The sequence below is a fragment of the Homo sapiens genome, chromosome 15 (assembly GCF_000001405.40).
Source record: "Homo sapiens chromosome 15, GRCh38.p14 Primary Assembly".
NCBI classification, from domain to species: domain Eukaryota; kingdom Metazoa; phylum Chordata; class Mammalia; order Primates; family Hominidae; genus Homo; species Homo sapiens.
In genome coordinates, this window is record NC_000015.10 from 48,607,874 (window position 1) to 48,635,356 (window position 27,483).

The 27,483-nt window shown below is 39.5% G+C and overlaps 1 protein-coding gene across 3 annotated transcripts in view; it reads right to left on the minus strand.

The window, feature by feature from the left end:
• FBN1 (fibrillin 1) overlaps nucleotides 1–27,483 on the minus strand; it is a 237,397-nt gene that overhangs the window by 199,561 nt on the left and 10,353 nt on the right. For all 3 annotated transcript variants that reach the window (NM_000138.5, NM_001406716.1, NM_001406717.1), the window contains 2 exons: nucleotides 5,137–5,219; nucleotides 2,855–2,953 (listed from right to left, as the gene is read on the minus strand). In NM_000138.5, the coding sequence (NP_000129.3) occupies nucleotides 2,855–2,953; nucleotides 5,137–5,219 (182 nt within the window). The remainder of the gene's footprint in view (nucleotides 1–2,854; nucleotides 2,954–5,136; nucleotides 5,220–27,483) is intronic.

The window sequence follows — 27,483 nt, forward strand, 5'->3', positions numbered from 1 at the left end:
TTAGGATTGCTCAAAATCCATCTGTACCCTCAGAGACTGACATAGCAAAGAACAGTCCTAAAGAGGGCTGGAATTAAAGTCTAGAAAAACTACTGTTTTGACGCTGTCTAGCCAATCATTCTTTTTGCCCTGGTGCTGAATGACGAGTGTCGAGAGTTCCACCAGCACCAAGGGAAGCCACAACTTCCTGTTGTCCAAGAGAATCACTGGCTGGTACTTTGAACCTTCTGGAAATGCAATCTCTCATTCAGGTCACTAAGAGATCATTTTCTATTCTCAGAGTCACAGGACACTCAAGTCAAAAACCACCTGAAAGAACAACACTTCTTCCATTCTGTTCATATTCAAGTGGGAAAACTAAGCCTCTCTGAGGTCCCACGACTTGCCTAGACCTCCTTGATCCCTATCATATAAAAAGTATAAAATTTTTCAGAGGAAAAATTCGTTCAGTGATCTAAATTGATCCTTTTTAGTAGAACCACATGTAGTGAATGCAAACATTTCACTGAGTAGAATTGTCCTTCTATTAGCAGGAAAGTTAGCAAAGTGATCAGGATGTTCTGTGGAATGGCACAGCTGTTCCCTAGAACATCACTCCAAAAGATGAGAAATGAATTCTGATCATCCCCAGCTATCCTTAATTTAAAATATTTTGCCATCTTTAATTTTGCAAGCCATTTAGACAATATTAGTGCAGAGAGAATCAAAGCCAACAATTTTAAAGATTTCAAGTAACCCCAAAGATCCTGATGAAACCAGAACCTCCTCCTTACACTACTCTCATCCACAAGCTACTTGGGGACTTTGTCTAACGTCCAGGTACCATAGATATGACTCAGACTTCCTCAGAAAGCACCACCCACAGTCTTGGATTTTAGTCTCTAGACTAAATCTGGCCCCAGGACCTTACTACTATACTCGTCACACCCCACAGTTAACTTGGATTCTACCAGGACCATGGCTTTTCCCTCTGGTCTTGTTAACATCCTGTCTCCACATCTCATGATTTCTACTCGATAGAGAAGTCATTATCAGTTCACATTATCATTGAAGACCTTCCCAACTTAATACCCAGTTTTGCCATCTGGCTATATTTCTTCCCCCAGAGGAGTGCAATGTTGTTAGTTGGTTCAGGGACCAATCTGAGAGATGGGGTCTATTCCCAACTTTATAACTGCACTTCTTTTCCAACCCTGAGATGCTTATGCTTCAGCGGCAGCCTGGAAGTCACCCTTATAGAGACGGAGATGTCCCGCATGTTCCCAGATGTGCTGCCAGCTGGCTTCTCTGCCTCGTTCTATTCCTCCAGTTCAGGGGCTCTTGCTACGTAGAATGAACCTGCTATTACTCGGAAGATGCATGTCTGACACCAAGCTGAGATCAAGGAAAACTATGCTACACATTCAGTGCAATAAGCAAGAGTCCCAGCCCATAGGGCAATTTCTATCCCAATTGTAACTGGCTGTATTTAGTAAAAGGTGGCTGTTACTGTGTGGGCTCCACCAGAAGCAGATTCTGAGACAATAATTTAAATGGAAGTAGTTTGTTCTGAAAGTAATTCTAGGAAACACTCATAGGAGAGTGGGAAAGTGAGACAAAAAGAGAAGGAAGCTAATAAAGTACATTATCAAATCTATTATCACTGTGAACAGCGAGGGCTCGGTCCCACTGGGGAACTTCAGGAGACAGTGCAGAGTGAACCTCATGGTTATCCAAACTGAGAGGCAAGGAAGCTGAGGCACTTATCCAACCACTCTCCATCTGTTGTTGGTTAAAAGTCTGCTTCCAGGTCCACTAACCCCCAGCACTTCCAGCTTGCCCTGCATGCAGACCTGGCATGCTCTCTGGCCAGAAAAGTATACAAAGCTCTCAGGAAGAGTCCCCCGTGTTCATCCATGAAGCCAAGGGAGGCAAGAGGGCACCAGGAGTGCTACACAGGACAATTTGCCCTAACCTGTTAATTGGCTTGTGAGAGACACACTCAAATGTTCAGACTCTTAACAGGTAATGAGCCTTGACACAGTGAAGTCTCTACTTGCAGTAAACAAAAGAGAATGCACTTATTCCACAATGTTTTTCTTTAAAACTTTGTCAAAATAGGACACACAATAAGGGGGGTGCATTTTCTTACAGGACAAAAAGAAACGGAAAAGGGACCTACGTTTTTTGCCATGGGGACGGTCAAAGTTTTGAGGGGCTGTTTATACAAACAAGAACTTCAGCTTTTTAAACAACCAATTATGACTCACTTGCCCAAACCCCCAAAAGAAAAACAACAGAACAAGCAAGAAAAGGTTCTGAAGAATGAACTGTGGATATTCATCTGGCATCACAGAAAGTGGCAACATTCTGAAAGGAAAAATATGTTTATGCTTCATTATAAATCACCCCCAGAAACTTCCATAATGACTTCTTACATTTTCTTCTTGTAAAGCAGGGGTCTTGAGTCTTAAATAAGTTTTTAATCAGATTCATATTTCAGTACCACAAGGAAGCATGCCTAGATTTCTTGAGCCAAAAATGTCCATTAAACAACCATTTCATTGAGCACCTTTTATGGTGTTTACACTGGAGATACAAAGATGAATAAGGCGATACCTACATAAAAGGCCATAAGCTTTATACTATTCATAGTAACTATGCCCCATAGGTAATTTTCCTATAAAGAGTAAAGAAGGGAAATGAGAGGCCAGATGAAGGAAAGCCTTTCCAAGTATTTTGGGCAGAACAGAGAAGGCAGATGTTCTAGTGAAAAAATGTATTGCAGGAAAGAGGAAAGCCAAAATCAAATTTAGGAGAAAATGGGGTATAACCACATAAAATAATATTATATATAATGACATGTTAGACTTACTGGATCTGGAGCCACAGGAAGGAGCTATCTGACCAGATGGGCAAGTGCACATATTTGGCCTCGAACAAAATCCATCCCCACAGGAATGCCGGCAAATGGCTGTGAATAAACCAGAGGTCTGTTAGCACATGGATTTGGAACACGATTTGTTATAGGGGACCAATCCTCAAATGAGGAAACCTGGGTTCTCAGGTCCCTCACAAACTTTGCTATCATGACTTATATGACCTTAAGCCTCAGGTGTACTCATTTTCAAAACAAGTCTATTGAACTAAATAAACTCTGGCTTTAAAATCCACAACTCCTTTATCCAGTCACGGTGGTTCTCAACCTCTCTTTGCTTAGTCCACAGCACTCAATCCATCAGAAGCCCAGGACAGGCTATGAAGAGAAAACCAAACAAACAAATTAAATCCTGCATCTAAACATATTTATATGATCACAAGAAATATATTATTATATTAACTCTAAGATTTAATGATATAAAAATTACATTATTACTCTTGGGAGCCAATTTTATTGTAAATTTATTTTGTTTTGCTTTGTTTTTTGAGATGGAGTCTCGCTCTGTCACCCAGGCTGGAGTGCAGTGGCGCAATCTCTGCTCACTGCAAGCTCCGTCTCCCAGGTTCATGCCATTCTCCTGCCTCAGCCTCCCGAGTAGCTGGGACTACAGGCATGTGCCACCATGCCCAGCTAATTTTTTGTATTTTTAGTAGAGACAGGGTTTCACTGTGTTAGCCAGGACAGTCTCAATCTCCTGACCTTGTGATCCGCCTGCCTCGGCCTCTCAAAGTGCTGGGATTACAGGCGTAAACCACCGCGTCCAGCCTATTGTAAATGTTTAATGTTTAATTTTTATCCTGTTCTGAATTCCATCAACAGTCTGAGAGAAGAATGCTGGAATCTACTGCTAGAGTACTGATTCTACAGTCAGGAAGCCATTCATCCTTTAGAGAAATACTAACATTTGCATACCACCCAGAGACTAATATCATGCTGGTACCAAATGCTCTGCTAGTGGTCACAACAGTAAGTTTAAATGGCATATGATTTATATTTATCGGCAGACTAGCACTTGGTCACTACTTTTCGTCATGACAGGCATGATCTTTTCCTCAAGCTCCTGCACAATCTTGCAAGTGCAAACATGATATGCAAGGCTAAAAGAGTACACTTGATAGAAAGTGCATTCAAACATCCAAAGAGTTTAGGATGGAAACTGGAAACGACTAAGAAACAAACTGTCAAAGATCCAGTAAACATTTATTTAAATATCTGGAGACATCATTTCTCAGAGAACTCTACAGAAGGCTAAGAAAGGGTTCTATTATAAAGTTCATTGAGAAAAATCCAAATACCATTATATTTCTCTTTTAGTGATCCAATTTTGGTCTTAGACCATAATGTGCCAAATAAAGGAGATGCTTTCTGGTCAAAATCAAGAATTGAGAAACAGTTAAACTTTTTCAGGTCATGAAGCAAATATTGGCCAATATAGTCTATTGAATACTCCATTGACCACTGTCAGCCAAGTGAGAAGGTGAACTAAGTGATTCTTAATGTCCCTTCAGCTCTAAATTTCCCCATTATACTACTGGAGTTTTCTGAAAACTGGACATTATTTCATAGGTACAACAACTGTAAAAGCTCATGAAGGGCAGGCATCATGACTAAATTTGACTTTGGTGTCTCCATTAAAGAACACCTTGTCTGGCATGCGATTTGTCACTCAACATTTGTGGGATATTGGGGAAATCTGGAAGTTTGCCTTGCCAGCAGAAATCAATAGAGGAACCTCTGTTATCATTTGAGATCTTTCTTAGTCTTTCCACTGATCTTCGTCTGGTGATCTATCTCCTTCCTTTCCCCTCTGTCTAAGAGTCAGGTCTGCTCTTGGTCCCTCAATCACCCAAATTCAATGTACAGGGTTTGGTAAGGCCCGTGAGTGGCCAACAAAGTTAGAAATTACAATAAGAAAAGCAGCAATAATACCCTTTCATTCAAACTCCCATCAAAGTAATTAGATAGTCTGTGTAGCCAGGCACAACATATGTAAATGACACAACCTCAAGCAAAGTATCCCCGTGACTAAACTTTGACAGGGTTTGACCAAGTTGATGTATTTCCCAAACTGGAAAGGTAGAAAAGTCTTAAAGCTGGAAGGCTGTACTATCAACAGATTAATAGTACAGTTACAAAAGGCCACATTCTAAGGCTCCCCATGCAACCAACACAACAAAAGAAGGACATGCAGAATGACAAGTTTTCTATTTACTTACGGACAATACACTGATTTCCGCCAGGTAAGGTTTTCCATCCAGGGCAACAGTAAGCATTATAACGTGATCCACAGACATTGGGTCTAAAACAAAAACAGAAGAATTCCATACTTTAAAAAAAAGAAGAAGAGGAAGAGATGGCCAAATAAAAGGAAAAAAAATTCCTGAGTTATAAAAGCAAGATGAATCCTGGCAGACAGATAAAGCAAACTCATGAGACTCAATGCTGGGTTGGTAGCTTGGGACACTAACATAGTGATATCAACAGGGACATCCCTTAATATCACCTATGCATATGGCCCATCAGGGAAATAAAAACCAGAGATACAAAATGTAGCACATTCTGTCACAATTCATGAAGCCATACAAGTCTTAAATTAGACAATAAACTTAAACAATAAATTTCTTACCAATATGGTTAAGAAAGTTTGTAATAAAATCTAATGCACATAAGACTTCACATTTCTACACTTTGAAGCCATATATATATATATATTTTCCTACGGCCCATCTCACCTCTATAATTTTACATATTCTCCCTTTCACTAAAATTACAGGAACGCAAACTCTGACATGAGTCAGAAAAAAATAAAGGCCAAAACATGTAAATATTTCTTTAGCAAAAGTTTGGAAACAGGCCAGGCGCGGTGGCTCACGCCTGTAATCCCAGCACTTTGGGAAGCCGAGGTGGGCAGGTCACTTGAGGTAATGAATTCAAGACCAGCCTGGCCAACATGGTGAAACCCCATCTCTACCAAAAATACAAAAATTAGCTTGGCATGGTGGCACGCACCTGTAGTCCCAGCTACTTGGGGGGCTGAGGCACGAGAATCGCTTGAATCTGGGAGGCAGAGGCTGCAGTGAGCTGACATCGCACCACTGCACTCCAGCCTGGGCGACAGAGTGAGACTCTGTCTCCAAAAACAAAAAGTTTGGAAACACACTTGATAACAGCAGTTACAAGAAAATAAAATCAGTGTCACTCTGGGTTTCTTGTTTACAGACAGTTCATCACATGTCTTGGAGTAGAAACTCCATTCAGAATCCAGATGATCCACATTTAACAATTTCAGGGAGCAACTAAGTAAGGATCCAATGACTTCTACACTGGAAACTAGGACAGAGACTATAATACACAGAGACCTAGAAGCAACCATTAGTTTTACTTTGCCGTATCCTGAGGGCCTAAGCATTGATGCTAGCTGCTAGCGATCAGGGGCTAATAAGGAAGGTCAAATGTTTTGCAATCAATTTCACAAACTAGGAGCAATTCCAAAGCTTACTGGTATAAACACTGTAAACCCAAAAGCATAAACCTTTAAAAACAACTGTATAGCTAAAATGTATTTTCAGTTAGGGTGCACTCCCACATTCTCTTTGTATATGTAGACCACGTGAAACAGTACAGAGTCCTCCCACATTTCCTCTGAACTCACTACTTCAACATCATGCAGGTTTGGGAACCAACATAAGGTCTTTGCTATGTCCTTTACCCCTTTTGTTGCTCCAGAAAATCTGGAACACCCTGCAGGGCACCACACATGCTTCACACTGACAGATGCTGAGGTCAGAAAGGGATTTAGGAAGAAAGCTGGAGGAGCCAAGGAAAGGGCCCTAACTCCATACCCAGCAGCCCAGGCCTTCTCTAAGGATAGAGAGGAAATGATTGGATAGAGGTGAAATATGTGCATGATGTTAGAGCCTGTGTGAGCTCAGTATATTTCTGTGTACAATGGCACAATGAAATGTCTCCCTTGTGTGTATATATGTCAAATAATGGACATGAAAGCTTCATATATGAAAAAGATGATGAAAATGCAATGCAGCATTATCATCCTGATGGAATCATCTTCTGACCCAGGTTACTCAGCCAGTGGAAACACAAGGAATAAAGGAAGAAAGATGTTATGGAGAATTTTAAGTCAAAGGCTCTCAACCCTTTGTCCCTCCATGACAAAGTAATGCCTGAAACTTCAGAGTGTCCAGAAGTTCCTGGGGAAATTCAAATTCTCGGAAAGGAAAATGAGAGAGGAAGTGAGGGTAGACAGCTGGGGTAGAGGGGAACGCACAAACCTTCCAAACTTTTATTATAAAAGTTCTCTCAATTTGAAATGACAATCCAGGCCAAAGTCAACCACCTCAAACCTTCTCCAGCAACAGCCCATTAGAACAGCTCCGCTGGAGATAGTCCAATCCCTACCAAATCCTGGAATAGTGTCAGAGCACTCCTGAGCCTTTGCAGGGTGCCCTGTGGTTGACATAACAAGGTTTTATTTTTTTTTTTTACTACAATCATACATTGTCTGACATAATATGTCACAGTCATAGTGTCTGACAAAAATATGTATGTCATAACACATACACAAGATGAAGAAGCTCAGAAACAAAGGATCCAGAATAACAATTTCAGTCCTACAAAGCAAAATATTCTAAAGATTTTCCAAGGAATTTGAAAAAGCATGGTAATATAAACATTCTTTTTTTAATGTTTAGAATCAATCTACAGCCAAAACATGGAAGATTTTACAATTTACTATAGTTACAAAAGAAAATGTAAATGTTGTAAACCTTCACAAGAGTAAAAGTAATGGGACAGATGACATAACTCGGGAAACAATTTGGGAGGAAAGGTGTGGCAGTCAATAAAGCAGCTGATCCTAGAAACAGAGTCTTATATATATTACACTGTGTTTTAAAATAACCAATACATAAAAGTTATACTAAAACTATATTTTAAAGTTGTGAAGAAGAAGAGAGAAAGAGGGTACAGATACTTTAGTGAGCTAAGTCCCCATCTTTCAAAGCAAGAAACCAGTGGGTACTGTTTAAATCTAGATACAGAGGTACAAACATGGTAGATGGTGTTACATGAGAAGAACAAAAAACAGAAATGTTTCAACCTAGTTACCTTAAGAGATGAGAACCCGGGGAAGCAGAGAGAGAGTTCTCTTGCTTTCTTATCTAATATTCATCCACAACTGTTCATTTTAAAATATACGCTCTTCTATTTCCATCGTCTTTCACTTAAAGCAATAACTAGACTTTCGAAGTATGAACGTCTTATCTTTGAAACAGAATACTTCTTGTTTTATTCATTCACCATTCCCTTTCATTAGTGCATCACATTTTCATTTCACTGTATTTCTTAAGGTTCTTTATAATTTTGGGTTGGACTTATTTTATTTGCATCCTCTGACTTTCTATGAGTTTTAAAACTTTATCATTAACAAGTAACATGTTATTTAATTTCAGCTGTTTCAACCAATACCTTCAAATGACAATGATTGTTTTAATTGTGTTGCCATTCATTCTTAAATCATTCTAAATGCTATGTGGTATGGCTCAACGCAAAGTATTTGAAACATGTAAGATTTCTCCTCTGCTGCTTTTGGTCTTGAGAAACTGCAAACTATTAGAACTCGTTCAAACAAGCTGCATGACATTTGTTTTACTTATACACAGAAAAAAAACAGCTCTAATTCTGGAAATAAATGAATGTCTTATTGAAGCTGGAAAGAACCAAAATATGTAAACTCTAAATGAGACATGCTGGATTATTTCCATAATAAAAGATTTAGTTATAAGGTTTCAATACAAAATGCTTGTACAAGGAAGGTAAATCTTTAATAAAGTTACTCTTTCGGGTCAATGAAAGTATAGCATCCATACCTCTTTCTCTTTTCACTTCATGAGCCATCCCCATCAACCCCCATCACTCCAACACACACACACAAAGTCGGATTTAAAGCTCTGTGCAAGTAGCAATAACATTCAACAAATTTTAAAAAATTAAAATTCAAAGGGGAAATAACTTTTTGCTAAGTGCTAAAGATATATTATTTTATTTCATCCTAATAACAACTCTTTGAGGTAATTTTTATTGTTATAATGTTTAACACTAAAAAAAAAACTATGGCTTAAGAAGGTCAAACAACCTGGCCAAGGTCACATAGCTTAGACGTGTCTAATGGAGATTTGAACTCAAGAAGCCTCCTGATTCTAGAGTACGCTCTCCTAACCTTATGTTAAGTCAAAAGTGTACTTAGAGGACAAGATGATATTTCATCCAGTAGTATTCATGGTGACATAAGTAACACAAATCACAGAATGTCCATCAATAGACCAAGGATAAAGCACAGCATAAACTGTTTTGGGGGTTTTTTTTTGCTTTTTTGTTTTTTTTGAGATGGAGTCTCGCTCTGTCGCCCAGGCTGGAGTGCAACAGTGCGATCTCGGCTCACCTCAACCTCCGCCTCCCGGGTTCGATAGATTTTTCTGCCTCAGCCTCCTGAGTAGCTGGGGCTACAGGCACACACCACTACACCCAGCTAATTTTTGTATTTTTAGTAGAGACGGGGTTTCACCATATTGGCCAGGCTGGTCTCGAACTCCTGACCTCGTGATCCGCCCGCCTCTGCCTCCCAAAGTGCTGGGATTAAAGGTGTGAGCCACCGTGCCCAGCCAGCATAAACTGTTTTTACCTGTATTCCAATAGTTTATAGGGGAAAGAGGGAAAATACATTTATATTCCACTTCACCACTGTATGTTACATTTTTTTAAAATAGCTAAGTCTTTATCTGTAACTTCTCTTACCAGTTACTTTCAATATTGTGCTCTGTAAGAACCCAACTCCAAACACCCTGGGGGATGAGTGAGTCTCAGCAGGTTTGATACTTGGATTCAGTTAAACATAGCCCTCAGAGAGCCTGTGGACTGGCAAAAGCCTCTCTCAACGGAGCAAACAGCTGGCCTCTACCACGTCTGACCACATCATTGCAAGACTTGGCCTCTGTGCAAGATGTCTGCAGTGTGTCCACATTCCTTAGCCAAAGCCCACTTCTGCAATTTGGCCTCTTACAGCAAGATAGCCTTTCTGTTTCCTATGCAAAGTGCAAACTCCTTTTCAGAAAAGGTTAAGGTAATAAAAACAAGGTCAGGAGGCTCTTATTTCATATATGTTAGTTTCTCAACATATTTGTTAGTGATTAAACTCTTGGGCAAGGAGAACAAGTACTAGGTAAGGGCTAATGAGACTGACCCTGCTCCATTAACTGCTTTTTTTTTTAACCTTTAAGGAAAAAAACTATGATTTAGCCCCTTAAGTATAAATCTGGAGGGGATCAAAAGGTACATGCCCTCACACAACAAAGGACACCCAACTTCCCATGTAATGTGTCCCATGTTAATATCTTAACATCCTACTGTTCCAAGGTTAAAATAACTTCCACTATAAAAAATGTGATAGATCATGAAACAATTACAATACATAAATGAGCTGCCTGTATTGTGAACTACACATCATGATTTTATTTGCTCTTTGACAATTTTCTTATCAAGATAAAAAAAGAAAAAACATCATGAGTACTGTCTGATGAAGGGGCCCATACTATTCTAACGAACCTTTCAAATATTCCCCCTCTTTATTTTAGTGCCTTTATTCTGGCCCTCTTCACTGAAGTCAGAGGTCAAGTCTCCCAGTAGTGATGTGAATACCTCATGTGACTGTTACAGTCCATCTGCCAGTCACAATGCAACCTGGGTAACAAAACTTCAAACCCTGGTAATGAGAACAGCTTCCATGACCTCCCTAAGCTTCAGCTTGACTCTCTAGACTGGGGTCCCCAACCCCTGGGCCACAGACCAGTAACGGTCCATGTCCTGTTAGGAACTGGGCCACACAGCAGGGGGTAAGTGGCAGGCAAGCAAGTGAAGCTTCCTCTGTATTTACAGCTGCTCCCATCACTCTCATTACCACCTGAACTCCACCTCCTGTCAGATCAGGGACAGCATTAGATTCTCATAGAAGCACAAACCTGATTGTGAACTGCGTGTGGGAGGGATCTAGGTTGCCCACTCCTTATGAGAATCTAATGACTGATGATCTGTCACTGTCTCCTATCACCACCAGATGGGATCCTCTAGTCGCAGGAAAACAAGCTCAAGGCTCCCACTGATTCTACATTACGGTGAGTTGTATAATTATCTCATAATATATTACAATGTAATAATAATAGAAATAAAGTGCACAATAAATGTAATGAGCTTGAATCATCCTGAAACCATCCCCCCATCCCCCAGCACCCTTGGTCCGTGGAAAAGTTATGTTCCACGAAACCAGTCCCTGATACCGAAAAGGTTGGAGACCACTGCTGTAGACCCAAAGACTCTTTTCTGGATTGTCTGAGTTGACACTGCTTGGGACACGGGCAATTCTGGCTTCCTCCTTTGAGGATGCAAGCCAGCCAACCACTCTAACTTACTTTGTGCAGTTTGGGATTTTTTTTTATTTTTTAGATGAAAGTAATCTGAAAAGGAACAGAATGAATAATAGATTTATTCTGGTTTTCAAGAGCTTTATCCCCTTCTTGCCTTCTCCATCACCAGTAGATTGGTGACTCTATTACGTTTTCCTCCCAAGCCATGGTCCATCTGTTTCTCTCTCCCTCCTTCTCTCCCTCCCTTCCTCATCTCCCCTTTCCTATCTGCCTTTCTTCCACTCTGTCTCTTTTCTTCTCTCTTCAGTTCCTGTTTTCAGGGCATTTAGAATTAAATGTTTTGTTACCATCTCAAACTCAATTTATCCAAGATCAATAGCTCCTCTTCCTGTGTAGCCAGTAAGTTCACTGCCAGGTCCACAACCGGATACATCAGGACTATTCACCTTGCCCACAAGCACAAAGCTGTTCAACAATTTTTTTTTTTTACCAACCCAAAGGTTTTTTTTAAGTTTCTTGTTTTTTTGTGACTATGGAAATAAAATATGATTAAGAAACAAACTGAAATAATTTGTACCTCAAACAATCATGACACGAGTTTACCTGTATAACAAACCTGCACATGTACCCCTGAACCTAAAATAAAAGTTAAAAAAAAAAAAACAGGAGAAGAACTAACATTTATTGAAGTCTGGATACTCTACATGCTTCGACCTATATGAATGCCAAATCAACATGTTTTAAAAATTAAATTAACCTATTGAGATACATTTGGTTGTGCGCTGAAGGGCTCATGAGAGGGACTCAAGCTGCCCCTTTCCTGAGAGCCATGGTCGGGGGACTGGAGGAGCATGTATGTACAAAGGGTAGTGATGAACCCCAGACAACATAAAAACATTGCTGAGCAATCATTTCAAATAGGAAGCACTATGGGAATTCTTAGGAAGGGAGAGTGAGACTATCATGGCTGGAATGATCCAGCTCCAGATATTCCTTACAGAAGACTGGGAAGAGAGATGAAGAGATGACGATGTATGTAATGTTACACATCATTGAGGGTTTGGGAAACAAAGACAAAACACCATAGTTCCATCAGCCTCACAATAATCACTATATTAATCATATCTATTGAGTGCTTATCCTATTTCAGTCACAGCACTCATTTACCTCCCCACAATACTTCTATGAAATAAGTTATTACTTTTATCATTACTGTTGCATTATAATTAATGTGAGGAAGCTGGGCCATAGAGATTAATCCATCTAAATTCATATGTTAATAAACTGGGGAGCCAAAATTCAAATCTAGCTCCCCATGTTAGCATTTTTTGCACGAGTCTCTGCTTGTTTTGCATGAGTGTTATTACAATCTTCATTTTTTGTTACTTTTTCACTTATGTTATTGTATAAATCTAATGATCATTTTTGATAGATACATAATATTTTATTGAGTCATTTGTACCATCAGTTACTCAACATTCCATTACTGCTGGCTGTTCAGCAATATTTAATGAGAGCCTATTATGTGCTAGGCACTGTGTTAGATAAGAAATAAAACTGACCAAGAAGAGCACACCTAATGCCTAGATCTTGGTTGCTAATACTATTATTCAATAAAAGGAATCAGGGCTCCTGGGAGATGATTCTAGGGCTGGGCAGGAAATAGACAAGCTGAATCTGTAGCATCTTGCAGTGACAGAAAGTATAAGGAAGTGCTAAACAAACATCCACACTGAGGGGAGCATGGCAAGGGACACAGAAGCCAAATGAAGGAAGTGTAAATGGCCAAAGCTAGAACCCTTTTGGAGCAACAAAATAACAAAAGCAGCATTGGATTACAATACCAAGTAAAAAATAAATATCCATAAGTCCATACTGATAAATAAATGATTGAAGAAATAAATGGGAGAGAAAAGACAAATCTCTTGTGCTTCCGACTTTCAAATAATTTTGTAGATGCTCTGCCTTCAAAAAGATGAAGCATAACTCCCCACTCCTTACATGTGAGCTACACATACTGACTGTCTTCCAAAGAGTACAGTATAAAGGGAGGGGGAGGAAGTGGAAAATCCTGACAAATCCTATCTCAGCCAGGCAATGAAGGGTTACAGCAACAATGGAAAATCATGTTGATACTATAAACCCTTAATATTATGTGATAAAAATGGAACTTTACCTCTGTGGTCTTTTTCCCAAAAACCCATAATTTCAATGTAATCATGACAAAAACATCAAATAATTCCACTAAGGGCCATTCTACAAAATATCTGACCAGCCCTTCTAAAAACTGTCAAGGTCATTAAAACAAGGAAAGTCTGAGAACTGTGACAGCTAAGTCAAGTCTAAGAAAACATGACTACTAAATGCAGTGTGGTATCCTAGATGGGATTCTGAACATAAAAAGGACATTAAGTAAAAACTCAGAACATTTGAATAAGGAATAGACTTTAATCACTAACTACATATCAATATTGGTTCATTGGTTGGGCACGATGGCTCACGCCTGTAATCCCAGTACTTTCGGAGGCTGAGGCAGGCGGATCACAAGGTCAGGAGATCGAGACCATCCTGCCTAACACAGTGAAACCCCGTCTCTACTAAAAATACAAAAAAAAAAAAAAAATTAGCCGGGCGTGGTGGCGGGCGCCTGTAGTCCCAGCTACTCGGGAGGCTGAGGCAGGAGAATGGTGTGAACCTGGGAGGCGGAGCTTGCAGTGAGCCGAGATTGTGCCACTGCACTTCAGCCTGGGTGACAGAGCGAGACTCTGTCTCAAAAAAAAAAAAAAGAAAAAAATTGGTTCATTAATTACAAAAAATATACCACGCTAGTATGAGATGCTAACAACAGAGTAAAGTGTCCAGAGTATATGGCAACTCTCTCAATTTTTCTGTGACTCTAAAACCGTTCTAAAGTGAAAAGTTTATTTTAAGGTAAAATAATAATAATCCTGTCCCAATGCAATTATAAATAAAACAGCTATATTTAAAAAGTGACTAAGACACACAGTCTTTGCTCTTGAGGATCTTACAGTCTAGGAACACAGGCACATACACAAAGATTATCTACACAACAGACAAAGCACTAACATCAAGGTCTGCCTGGGGAACTCAGGGAGGCCAGAACAAAGGCCTTTAGCCACAGCATGCATGGTAAGCTCAGAAGAGGACTATCTGAGCTATGACTTGATGTTTCCCGGTTGCTAAGGGGAGTCACTAGTTTTATTTCATCCCACTGATGAAATTCCCCTTAAATTCTCCAACTCCATTAGCAAATCCCTTGTCCAAATCCTGGTGATTTCATTGTTGGACCAATATCATGTTCTTTTTTCCTGGCTTCCTAGTTTCTCTCTACTCCATTAGGACAATATGGGTAAGTATCTTTTCATATTCACCGTGCTTATTTCTATTCCCCTACAGCCCAAAGATGGACCTTCACTCTCTATAATGTTAAACATCTCATTATTAGGTTCAGATATCTACCAGGTAGGCCTAATCTACCTGTCAACTCTTATCTTTACCTATACCTTCAACTTCCACCCTCCTACTCAGCTCCTCTTCTTCACCGTCTCAGCCCTCACTCATGCACGCACTGCTATCTCTGACACACACTAAAACCAGACACTTCCTCCATTTTTATATCAGCTCTTCCATCTTTCCATTTCAATATGTAGTTCCATCTCCCTTAGTGTTCCCTGATGAATCCATCCATCTTTCACACTACAAACACAATTCCAGACATATCTTCAAAAACCTACATAGGCTATACTGTAGTTATATATTTAAAACAATTATATGTCTAGATCTCATCCCTGAAGCCCAACCCACCACCCCCTTTACTCCCAGAGTAATAAATTGTTCTTCAGGCACAGAAACAATGTCTATTATGCCTAGACTATCCTGGAGTCTATTTAGAAGCACACAAGATAATATTGACTAAAGGCAATAGTGAGTACGAAGTACAATTAGCAAAGATTAATATCATCTCCTCAGTGCCAAAAGTAAGCCAGATGGAATATGCCACCGACATTAAAATCTGTGCGATAGAATTATTTCTTATAAATTTATCTATTTAAAAGAAGACTATTTAACACGTCTTTGAAAGGCTACATAGGCAGTTAAACAGAAATGTATGGTGGTTTTGTGCCTTGATTATTTCACTGACATGCCTGTCATTAACTTATTCTGATCAGTGAAGTTACCCATGTTTATAACTCAGAAATCAATATTTTCCTTTGAGAAAATACAAAATCAATGTAGACAAATAACACACATATGTAAACATTTGATTCTATTTATTTCTTTGGCAAAAGAAGAAAAAAAATCCCACAAGCAACTAAGTGAAGGTTTTCAGCTCACAAGTTGGCATGCATTTTATTATGGCAGATTGCTGCAACTGATCAAGGCCATAGATGGAGCCAGCCTCATGCGGCCAATTCCTACAGACAATCATGACAAAATTCATAGAGTGACCTTGATAGGTCTCTTTGGATGTGCTGCTTGGATGAAGGCTTTTCCCACTGCTGAGTGGAGTAACTCACAGCACAAGCAGCACAAAGGTGTTGCATCAACAGTTTCATTCACTGTGTACCCTCAACTTTTCATGGAGATTTTGTGTTGATCAAAAGCAATAGCCCAAGAACTTATGGTCCAAAAATGTCGTCCCCCTTCAAGGGCATGTACACATGCACCCTCCTCCCCAACACACACATTCTCTCTCTCACATACACACACACAAAGACACAAACACACACACACACACACACACACACACGCACAGCCTAAGAAAATTAGGAAATAGAAAGCTGAAAAGGCAGTTCCTCGGATCTGGGACATCATTTTTAGACTGACAGCCAATTTAAATCCTATTGGAATCTTTTATAGGTGGAGTGTATATATTTAAAAAAAAAGAATTTGAAGCTCAAAAAGCCATGGGATGCACTCTACAGGAAACTAGACAATTGAACCATGAAGACCAGAGGCACAGATGTTTAAAGTACATCATGTGTGCAGCAAGTCAGCACTCTTCACTTCATGCTTCTGGAACTCTGGATTAAGCAGCACTAAGAACACTAAGTCTGCTTGTCTGCTTAGAAAATTACACCACCAGAATGGACTCCTCAAAGTTCTGAAGGCAATGATTTGAATAACTTGCTGTCCTAGTGTGTACTGGATCACTTCTCCAAGGGAGGGCATCTGTATCTGGCCTACTGGCGTCACATGTCTGGTTGGTTGGGTAAAAGTTGCTCCCATACATGGGAAGAGGTGAATTTCTTCATGAAGTTTCAACTATTTGACCATCTAAGGATGAGGAAGCATTGCTTCCAAACAGAAAATCCAGCTTATCTCAAATGTTTGCTTCTGGAGCATCTGAGAGGATATGGCCAATGACACGATGAGAACATGTTGCCTGTGTAAAGAACTGCTTCCCAGCACTCTGAAACCCCTGGACTTCACCAGTGAGCTCAGGGTCTATCAAGAGCTTTTCTTTGACTGGGATATTCATTCCATTTATTCAAGTTGAAGCCACACTGTACTTTTCCAAAGGGTGAACGAAATCATAGAAATGATTGAAAACACAAAACAAGTGGTGAGGGGATTCTGAGCCTGCACAGAGAGAGGCCGGCCAGAGGCGGAGCCGGGGGTGGAGCTTGTGGAATTCCTTTACCACCCACAGAAGGAACTGGGGACTAAAACCATGATTCTTGCCACTTCCCAGAAATTCTCAAACCAAGAGCTCTGTCCAGGGAGATAATATCTTCTGAATGTACTGGCAGCCCCAGGAAGAGACAGGAAAATCAGCCAATGGGGTCAGACTTAGGAGAAAGAAAGAATGAGGTCTTTCAGGAACCTAGAGTGCAGGGTGATTTGATACTTGAGTTCCGAATGCTGTCAGCCCCCAATTGACAAACAGGTAGAGCTCCAAAATTTCATTTCTATATTAGTATTTAGAACTTGGAATGGCCTGTCCAATAGAAACAATGTTAATAGGTGGTGGTTTGGTCTCCAGACCAGTCAAATAGCAGTCTCTCAGCTGCATTATCAGCTGAATAGGCTATTGTGGGCTGGTCTGGGAACCTGACCACAACTTAAAATGTTGTTTCTATGGGAAAACACATTCCACGGCAGGCAACCAGAGGAAAACTTGGCCACTCAAACCCACCATGTCTCAGCTTAGTAAGCTGCCCAGTGATCTGTGAGAAATGAACACCTTAAACTCAGGCAACTCCACACAGTCCTGAGAGGGCAGCCAGAGTCAGAGCCGTCCCAGCCCAGGCTTGACACCCTTCTGGACCCCCTGCATGAGACCATCAGGGCCAATACAGGACATCCACAGGTCCATGAATCAGAGACTTAAAACCTGGAGAGTTCTCATCCTCGATGCACCTGATTTATTTTAAAGGCCAGAAGATCCCGCCCCATTAGCAACTATAACATAAAATCAGTATCCTGGACTGGCTCACAGATAGACTTCAGTGAGCTATTTCTAGCACGAGTGGCTTACACGTGAAGCAAGGAAGCAAGTCCGTTTTGAATCCTATTTGGTGACTTTAGTCTCATACCAAAATTATTCAAGAATTTCACCTCTCCTAAAACTGGAAATTACCAGCGTTTTTTTTGTGTGTGTATGCAAGTTCCTTAAATATAGCAAGTTCAGATTTATCTTTACAATCCCAGCACCTAACACAATACTTGAATCTTAAGTGGTAAATGAGAGTTTAGAGTTTCATTTACCACTAAGACAACATAAGTTAATGAGAAGTCTATCAGAGTAGTGAGTATTTAATTTATTTAAAAAGGTGGATATGTTTATAAGAAACTTTTAAAAAAAGATCCAGCCTGGGCAACATAGCGAGAATCTATATCTTCAAAAAAATTTTTAAATTAGCCAAGATGGTGGCATGCACCTGTAGCTTCCCAGCTACTTGGAAGGCTGAGTGGGAGGATCACTTGAGCCCAGGAGGTTGAGGCTAGAGTGAGCCGCAATCACGCCACTGCACTCCAGCCTGGGTGACAGAGCAAGACCCTGTCTCAAAAAAAAAAAAAAAATGAAAAGTATAATTACTAGTAAGAAATCAGTATCATTTCATCTACTTTTTTAAATTTTAGAAAATTAAAAGGAAAAAATCTAACACATAACAACAATTACCCATAAGTGGAATACATGGAGTACGAGAGTGAAATTCTTCCATGTTTCAGTTGCATCATTTAGAAACATTTATAGCTACAAAAGCTTCAGAGATCTTGTAGCTCAAACCATATTTCATAGCAGTCAACAGGCCATGGATCTTTAAAACATTTCTCTATCTAGCCCTCCCATCAAAACAGGGACAATATTGTTGCTCAGGAACAAAAATAAATAAATAAATCACTAACAGATTTTAAGTTTCTATAAAGTCAGAGGAAGTTAGGTAAAAGCATGCAGTTTGCTGAGATTATTTCATTGAAATTAACACTTCACAATATTAGCAGTCAAAAACTTAAGTTTTTTTTTTAATTTTGAAATTGAAACAAAGTTGTAAGCATTTATTTTTTAAACATTTAGATATGTGGAAAACTTTTAATAAAAATAGTCTAATTTAAATTTAAGGGAATTTAACCAAATCAGTACTTTAGTCCACATGAAGTCATTCAGTGGAATAAAAATAATAATTAGCAACTATTAGAGAGCTTTAATTTATAAAATTTACTCTTCCCCCAAACCCTATCAAGAAAATGTATTGGTGTGCTCATTCTCAGATGAGGAAACTGAAAATGTGAGAAGTGAAGTAATTTTTCAAAGGCTACACAATGGAAACGTCATAAATCCCTAATTAAAAACCAAAAGACTTTATTAATAACATTCCAAGGTTAGTGTTAAAGATTTTTAGATTAGAGATTAGAAAGATGTTTCCATAAATACTCCAAAGAGAATGTATTCTCTTTTTTGTATAAACTAATTTGTACATCATTTTTTGTGCTCTGATTTTTTTACTAGGTTTGCAAAATAAATAAATAAGACAGTGTTTTGGAAGTGTATTAGCAAAGGAAAACAATGTAAAGAGAACACATTTTAGGAACATTCACTCCTATAGATTGGCACTTCTGTTTCTGAAATAGTTTCTGCATTTCCCAACAGAGAATGAGTATTCTGTCCTGCACCCTCCGGTAAAAACATTAGTCAGCTCTTAACATGCTCAACGTTTGAGGGAGTGGATGTGTAGAGAGCACAAGAAAGATTCAACATGTGGATAATTCAAAACCTACTCAGAGCTGGCATTGGAATGTGTTAGTACACACACTTCAACATGGGTGTGGCTTGTCTTTTGAAAAGTAGCTCAAAGCAAAACCATCAGGACACGCAGGCAACTGTCTGACCCGGCTTAGGAAGACAATGAGCTGCTCGAAGGCCTGGGTGATCCAGATGATCTTCTAAAAAAAACCCTCCAATTTCACGTCTCTGTGACTTAATTCAGAGGCTGCTGGGATATTGTCCATTACACAGAGAAAGTGGTGACTGTCCTCATTCCAATGGCCAGCACAGCTCTTCCCTGAAATCCAACCCGAAAGATTTCCCTCTCAGTGTGAGTGATGCCAGCACTGTCCTCTCAGCACCCTTCCAGCTCCAGGGAAGATGTCACAGTATTTGTGTTTCAAGCTATAATTAAGCAGAGCAGGTGCTAAATGCCAGCACAAAGTTTCAACATGACAACTTCTGAAGTGGTGATGATGATGTCAAAACAGACAGAAATACATCCACCTCGCATACCTAAAGGGCTTCCAAATCTCTGTAGCAGCACCCACTGACGAAAAAGCAGTTCCAAAAGCCTGTCATTTCACCCAGGAGTTTTCTATCAAGTAAGAATACATGAGGCCTTAGAGAATGACGGACATGTTTCACTGACATGAAACACACGGGTGATGTGCCTGGCACACATGCACATGCGCACGTATCATCCCCTACAAACAGTCGGGGAGGTGCTCCTGGGGCAGCTCTTGTCCCTACCTTCCTTTCCCCAAAGGGGACTGGGTGTACCAGTAATTTTCAGAATCTTTCATTTGAATCACTAAGGTTGTACTTGTTCCAATTTCTTGAAGAAAAAAAAAAAAAAGAGCATTCCTGAGAGAGCAATGCCGAAATGAAGGTACAAAAATTCACTTCTGAATATTAAAATCTCTGCAGATATCTTCTTTATTACCCTCATAGTCCAAAATCTTACCAACTTTTCATAAGGTTCTTGCCTGAAATCCCTTACTTTAAAATAAAAACACATTGAGTGCTTCCACCTTGACACTCACAAAAGATCATGGGATAAATGGACCTTTGCAGAATTATTTTCTTCCCTTTCAAATGCCAGGCTCCTTCTGTGTGAATTTTCCACAATTTCATAGCTCATAATAGCCTATCCTTACTGTTAGATATTAAATAATTTTTCTACAACAAAGTCGCAGATAAGAAAAATCAGACCCAGCATATTGCAAACATTACTGGCTGTGAAGCATTGAGCCTAAGTTCAAAACTAGGAGTAAAACTTTACAGCATTAGTAAGTCAATAGGAAATGACAGAATTTGAATATCCCCATTCTGCCACCCTAATAGATCTAGAAAACGATTATCAATGAATGCTAATAACACAAAAAGAGAGACTAGTAGTAATGATGTCCCTCCTAATGGAAGGACACATACCACTTATAAAGTCTTCTTGAAAAAAAAGTTAATTGAGTTGAATCAAGCATCTAGCTCTAACTAGCAATTCACAACAAATACAGGGGACTGAGAAACATGGTAGGACCATACCACTGGAATGCAGTCATCACTGGACTGCAAGAAACTCTCCAGTGGTGAAAGCCATGTGTGGTCCAAGGACTGGCCAGTGCTGTTCTACAAACTAGACGTTACTAGTCTATATTGAGATAAGGAGTTTAAGCTAGAATCTAAACCATCTCACTGCTTCCTTCATCGAGAAAGTCTCCCTAGAAATAAAATATCAGCTGAACTAAATAGTGTGCTTAGTGACATATTTTGGATTTACACCCTGGCTTCTCATCTCATCATGGACCAGTAACAGGAGTTTGTGGACTGGCATCTTAAGAAGCACTGGTGTAGAGGACAGGAACCAATTTCTTCAATACATAAATTACAAGGAAAAACTGACAGGGGGACAATCTACATATTCAAAAATATTTAAGACAGATCAACCAATTGCAAAATATGGACTTTTTTGGATCCTGATTTGAATAAACTGCAAAAAAACAAATAAAATTTATGACTCAATTAGGAAATTTTAAATATTCACTGAATATTTGATAATATTAGAAAATTAGTGTTAATGGTAAACAGAATAATGTTATTGTGTTTATGTTTCTTAAAGGGCCCTTATCTTTTAGGACACACATTGAAATATTTAAAAGTAAAATGATTTTTCAAGGATTTACTTCAAAATAAATGCAATGAGGGAGAGAAGAAGTAGATAAAACAAGATTGACCATTAATTGATAAATGCTGAAGCTGGATCATCATTGTATCCTTCTTGCTAGTTTTGAAATTATCCACATCTGTGTTAAATAAAATTCTTTTTAAAAAACACAAATTTGCAGCAGCACCTGGCCTAGTCCATCCTGATATCCACAGTCTCCTACATGCCATCATGCCACACTTTTGTTTTCTGTTTTCGTTCACTTGAAGAACCACCTTTATCTGTTACGCAGCTCAACATTCCTGAGAGGGAGGGGACCCCCATTAAGAGACAACAGTCCAATCCCAACATGTGTACCATGTTAAATCAGTGGCAAGAACTAACCAAAGTGTTCCTACTAAGTATCCAGCTACTAAATAAGGTTACAGTTCACTAGATGAAGAATCCAAGAACAAATGACTTCACTACACCTGTGCAAACAATTAACATGTCGGTCCAGGGGATGGATCCCCTTGGGCATCACAGGTCCTTTTTGACATGATTCATTTTCATAAAGACATTTTATCTTTCTTTATGACAAACATAAACCCATCAGTTAACAAAAGATGTGTTTTGGGGGAAGGGGTTTTTGTGTATCAGGTCCATAAAAAGGTTAAATTTGGGTTTTTCTGTGCATAAGTGGAAGAATTCTTATGGACATGGGAAATATGAAATGGAGGGAGGAAATCATTTAGCAAAGAATCCTGGTATGTCTTCTGACCTTTCAATGTGTGAGAATGTGTGTCAAACAACCTATTTTCAAGGAAGGTCCCAAATGCAAATGAGCAGATGAGTCAGTCTGCAGTCAAATTAGACCCTGCTGTCTTCTGTCAAAGTTCAATAATGTCTGGATTAAGTTAGAACTGCTTACAAGCAAAAGGAGAAAAAGTGGTTTGCCTATCTTTGTAAAATACCTGAAAGGTTTTCAAAACTTTAAAAGGAAAAGTTTATTTTATTTGAGGTTTATTTTTTTCCCAGGAAGTCGGTAGAGCACAGAAAATACCCGGTATTTGCAGTGAGCCGAGATTGTGCCACTGCACTCCAGCCTGGATGACAGAGTGAGACTCCATCTCAAAAAAAAAAAAAAAAAAAGAAAAGAAAAGAAAAGAAAGTACCTGGTATTCATTTGTTTGATTTTATATTCTTACTTTTTTACAAACTTTCTGTTGGTGATGGTGTGATTTACCCCACGGGGATGAGAGACATTAAGTAATTTGAACATTTTCAATGGCAAATAGAAAAGTAACTATTATCTGTTCAAATCGTTCCTTATTTAAAACACTCTACTCTTATTTTTATAGGCTGTGAATGAATATGAAGCAACCGCAACTTCTTAGAGTTTACTGCCAATCAGTTAACCAGAGCTGGCATGTAGGGTGCAGCGTATAGGAACTCTACGAAAGCTATGCCTAAATTAAGATAATGTATGTTTTGTTCCACTCTCACGGATGTTCAATAGTTTAAGACCTCTCCGAAAGTCAACTCTCATTAAAATCAAAATGGAAATCATTAAGAGAAAATTTAAAAATAAAAAGATTTTCAATTTCTCAAGAGAAAGAGGACACAGAAGAAGAAGAACAAATAAGAATCTCTTTGTAGTAAATGAGCATTATGTTGCTGCATGGCATGAAGCCAAAGGAAGGGAACGCTCAACTAGAAAGTGGCTCTTCTCAGGGGCTGCCAATCTGAGTCAGCCTGTCCCCAATCACGCAAGCAAGGCCTGCCCACAAAGCACCTAGAGAGGACAGTGATAACAGAGTGGGTGGAGGGAATACTGACGCTATGGAAAAGGGAGCTTTCTCCCTGTGAGTGCAGATGTGTTGTGTTTGCCCATCCAGTATCCCTTCCCCTTCTCTGCTAACCAAACTCTTCGTTTCCTAAGCCCATTCCACATGGTTCAGGCAGGACTAACACATGGCTCAGTCCTGACCAGCTGGAGTGTCCTATTTCTTTGGCGACAGTGAAGGGCGTGTGACTGGGGCAGTGCTGGAGTTCTCCGCGAGATCTGACATGAGCAATCTGGAAAAGAGGGCTTATCTCTTTACCTCTGAGATTATGTGTTGAAAGGCAGTGTGGCTAAGAATTGTAGGTGGTCATCTGGGCTACCCAATTATAACCAAATCCTTACTCCAACAGAGGCAATTAAAGCACATTTCAAGAATAGCGCACCACCTTGCCATGAAACAATTCTAACTCCCAGGGTATCTCTGCACTGCTGCCAAAGAGAATGGTTTTCAACCCAGTCTTTCCATTTACTAAAATTTAAATTCTTTTCACAAAGTATCTTTTTAAAAAATGTGCTAATCAGGAAAGAGGCAAGGCCTATTTGACAGATCTGCCAGTTAAAAAATGCAAACTTTTTTGGAAGAGTTGAGGGGGTGCATATTAATAAGGAATAATATTTAGTAAGTTTGTTTCCCAATGAAGACAACACAATTTAGGGAAAGAGAAAATTTAAAAATAAAAACTTATCCCCAAACTGCCTTTAAGTATAACCAGATCTCCACAGATATAGTAAGTCCATTAAAATTACACTTTTGAACATTTTAAAATTCAGGTTTGCCTCCTGTTTCTTAATATAATCATTTCTATGATGAGAAAGTGGAGACTGTGGTATCCAGATAGGTATGATTATCTAGATTTTTGCTTTAGCCATAAAAAACAGCCTCTTTGGATGACTCTCTGCCTCATTTTCCTTATCTGTAACAGCATTATAATCATTCTCATCATCATAGCTAAACATGTCAGGCATAGTACTAAGAACTTGAAATGTACCATCCCATTAAATCTTAGGACAACACAGAAAGATGAGTAATTTAATCGCATTTACAAGTGAAGAAACTGAGGCCCAGAGAGGTCAAATCACTCGTCTGAGGTTTCCTCCTAGAAGGTGGTGGAGCCAGGGTTTGACCCAAAGCATGTCTATTTCCACACTTCCAAACCTCCCTGAAAGTGTGGCCAAAGGTTATTAGTGATCATTGAAAATGACTCCTTGGTCCTTTAAAATATGGTCCCACAATCAATACCAGTATACCCCACTACCCACAGCCAGGCTCAAATAGGAAATAGTGTGAGGTAATTATAACATATACCCCAGCCACTAGCTCTGGGTTTTTATGACCAAACTGCCAAACATTCCTAGCCAACTCTTCAGGAAATGTTCAGGCACTTTCTCAGATTCCAGCTAAAACACCGACTATGTGACCCTGGGGAGCACAGAGCTCACAGGGTGGTAATGGGATATAAAATTTGCAAACTTGAGGTCAGTGGCCTCAACTCTGGGGTGTGAAGCACCAGCAGTCCATGAAAGATTAAAAAACTATTTGTCTACTTAAAGGCTGCACATCAAGTCCTTCACTGAAAAGCATTTGCCTACATCTCCTCAGACATTAACCCCATCAGAAAGGGAGAGAAAGATATTCCAAATGGCAGTTCTGCCTAGAATCATTGGAAAAAAAGATAATAATATCAACAAGCCCAAGACAGGGTGTTCATTCTGAAAATGAAGCATTGGGTCCTATTCAAACGCAGCTAATGCTCATAACATAGTTGTCACTTGGAGTAGGCAGATGTTTTACAGTATTACTAGGTGAGATGATATGGAGGAAAACACAAGAATTTAAGAATTTTTTTCTTTCTTTAGCATGTTTATTACATAAACTCTTAATGTATAGTTTGGATAACTGAGCCAGCAAGTTACACAACAAGAAACCAAGCTTAATCACAGACCCAGAACTGCCTTAGTTGATCCCAGGTCATTTGACTCTTTGACTGCCAATTAGAAGTGTGAGTATGTGTGTGGTGGAGGGTTGCGGGGAGGAGTCATGCTTCCGATTCCCGGAGAAGACTATTTCTCTTTTTCCAACCACCTGACTGATACCCTCATTGACAACTACCTCCCTCAAAAAGTCCCATCCCACCCAATCCTTTCTAATGTGGAGGTTCCCACTGAGAGCAGGGTAGTACTGAGGATCTAAAACTCTGCTACAGTATCACCCCTTCAGGGCTGACCGCTGAGAGAGTAATCACACTGCCTAAGATCAAATAAATGAGAGAAAGAAAACACCCATGCCCACAGGATTGATAAGGTTTGGTTATTTCAAGTATAGCAGAGAACTTGCAGATACCAGTCCACCTCTTGAGGGTGTGAACACAAAGAGGCCCAATCTATTACCCAACAACGCGCCTCTTAGGTCAGCTCTCGCTACCACGTGACTCAGCTTCCACACCTACGAACCGGAGAGGAAAATAAGCACCTTGAGCACTTGTTCCTGGACCTTCTCTGGGCCTCAGTTTCAGTATTTATACATTTCTAAAATCTGTCCTACTATAACTAATTTATAATATGAATTTTTCTAAAGATGGATGGTCTGGCTATGGAAGAAGATATAAGCCATAATTTCAATGGCAAAAATAAAAGCATTTAAAAATAAGAAGGTCCTTTAAAAGTTATTCATCAAAGGCCCAAACCTATTAGGGTCTGATTACACAATCTTACAAATTAGCACTGAATGAACAGGGGAAATGATACACAATAAACCATTAGTTACAAGAAGCAGGATGCATCAAACTTTACATAGTACCATATACACAGGTGCATACCAGACAATGGATTAACCTGCTTTTCCACTGCATTCCTCTAAATGTTTTCATACGAATCTTTTCTGGCATCCAAGTGTCTTTCTTTTATGTCCTGACTCTCCTCCATAAGCTCTCTGTCCCCTAAAAGAGGCTGATTAAGGCCACAGGTCGCCTGGTCCCAATGCTGCCGGGAGTGAAGGGGTTGTCATCAATCTCTTTCAAAACCCAGCATCTGCTCTGTCCAGCCTAGGTCCACTGGCTGGCAAGACTTTCACTCCAGAACCTTCTCCCAGCTCTCTCCTCCTGCTTCCCTCAGGCTTTCTCCTTCCTTCCCCTAACAAAAACCTTAACCCTGTTTTGCTTTTTGAACACCCCAATGTTCCCAGGTAAAAATTTTGTATTTTACTTAGACCTTGTTTACTTTTCTTAAGGTTTTAACTCTCATTTGATATTCCTATCCTCCCTATTTTATTTGCAGCACAGCTTATGAAATTACTTACAAAAAGAAGATGAAACAATGATGATGAAGAAAAAGAAGAAAAGGAAAAGATGGCAACAAAGAAGGAGAAACAGAACCGGAAAAGGAAGAAGAAGAAACCAAAAAAAAAAAAAAAAAACCACACACACACACACACACACACACACACACACACACACACACACAAAATGAAACCCTGCCTCTGGAATACATTGTCTTTATTAATAAAGATATTACCATACTTCAGTTCAAAACCATGAAACTTGACAGCAGACAATGTGTCTTTAGGGCAGACATAAATCCTGTCTCCCAACACCAACATCATAAAATGGTTGTACTATATTTGGACTTAGATGTGTTTGGATACTTATATTTGAATGTAAGTATGACTGATGGTCTAGGAATTCATAATCCTTCAAAATGTTGAACTAAACCACTTGTTTAATGGAGCAGTTCTCCCACTCTGAGCCTGCTTGCTGTCTGGAATACATCTCCGGCTGGGAATGGTGGAGATAGGGATTTTTGCTTTCTCTCTTCCGCTCTGAGGGAGCTGAATAAATAGAGTCAGTGATAACTTCAACCAAAAAAAAGTCACTTAAGTTGAAAAAGTGGTAGTCACAAGAAATTTAAATCTAGGAT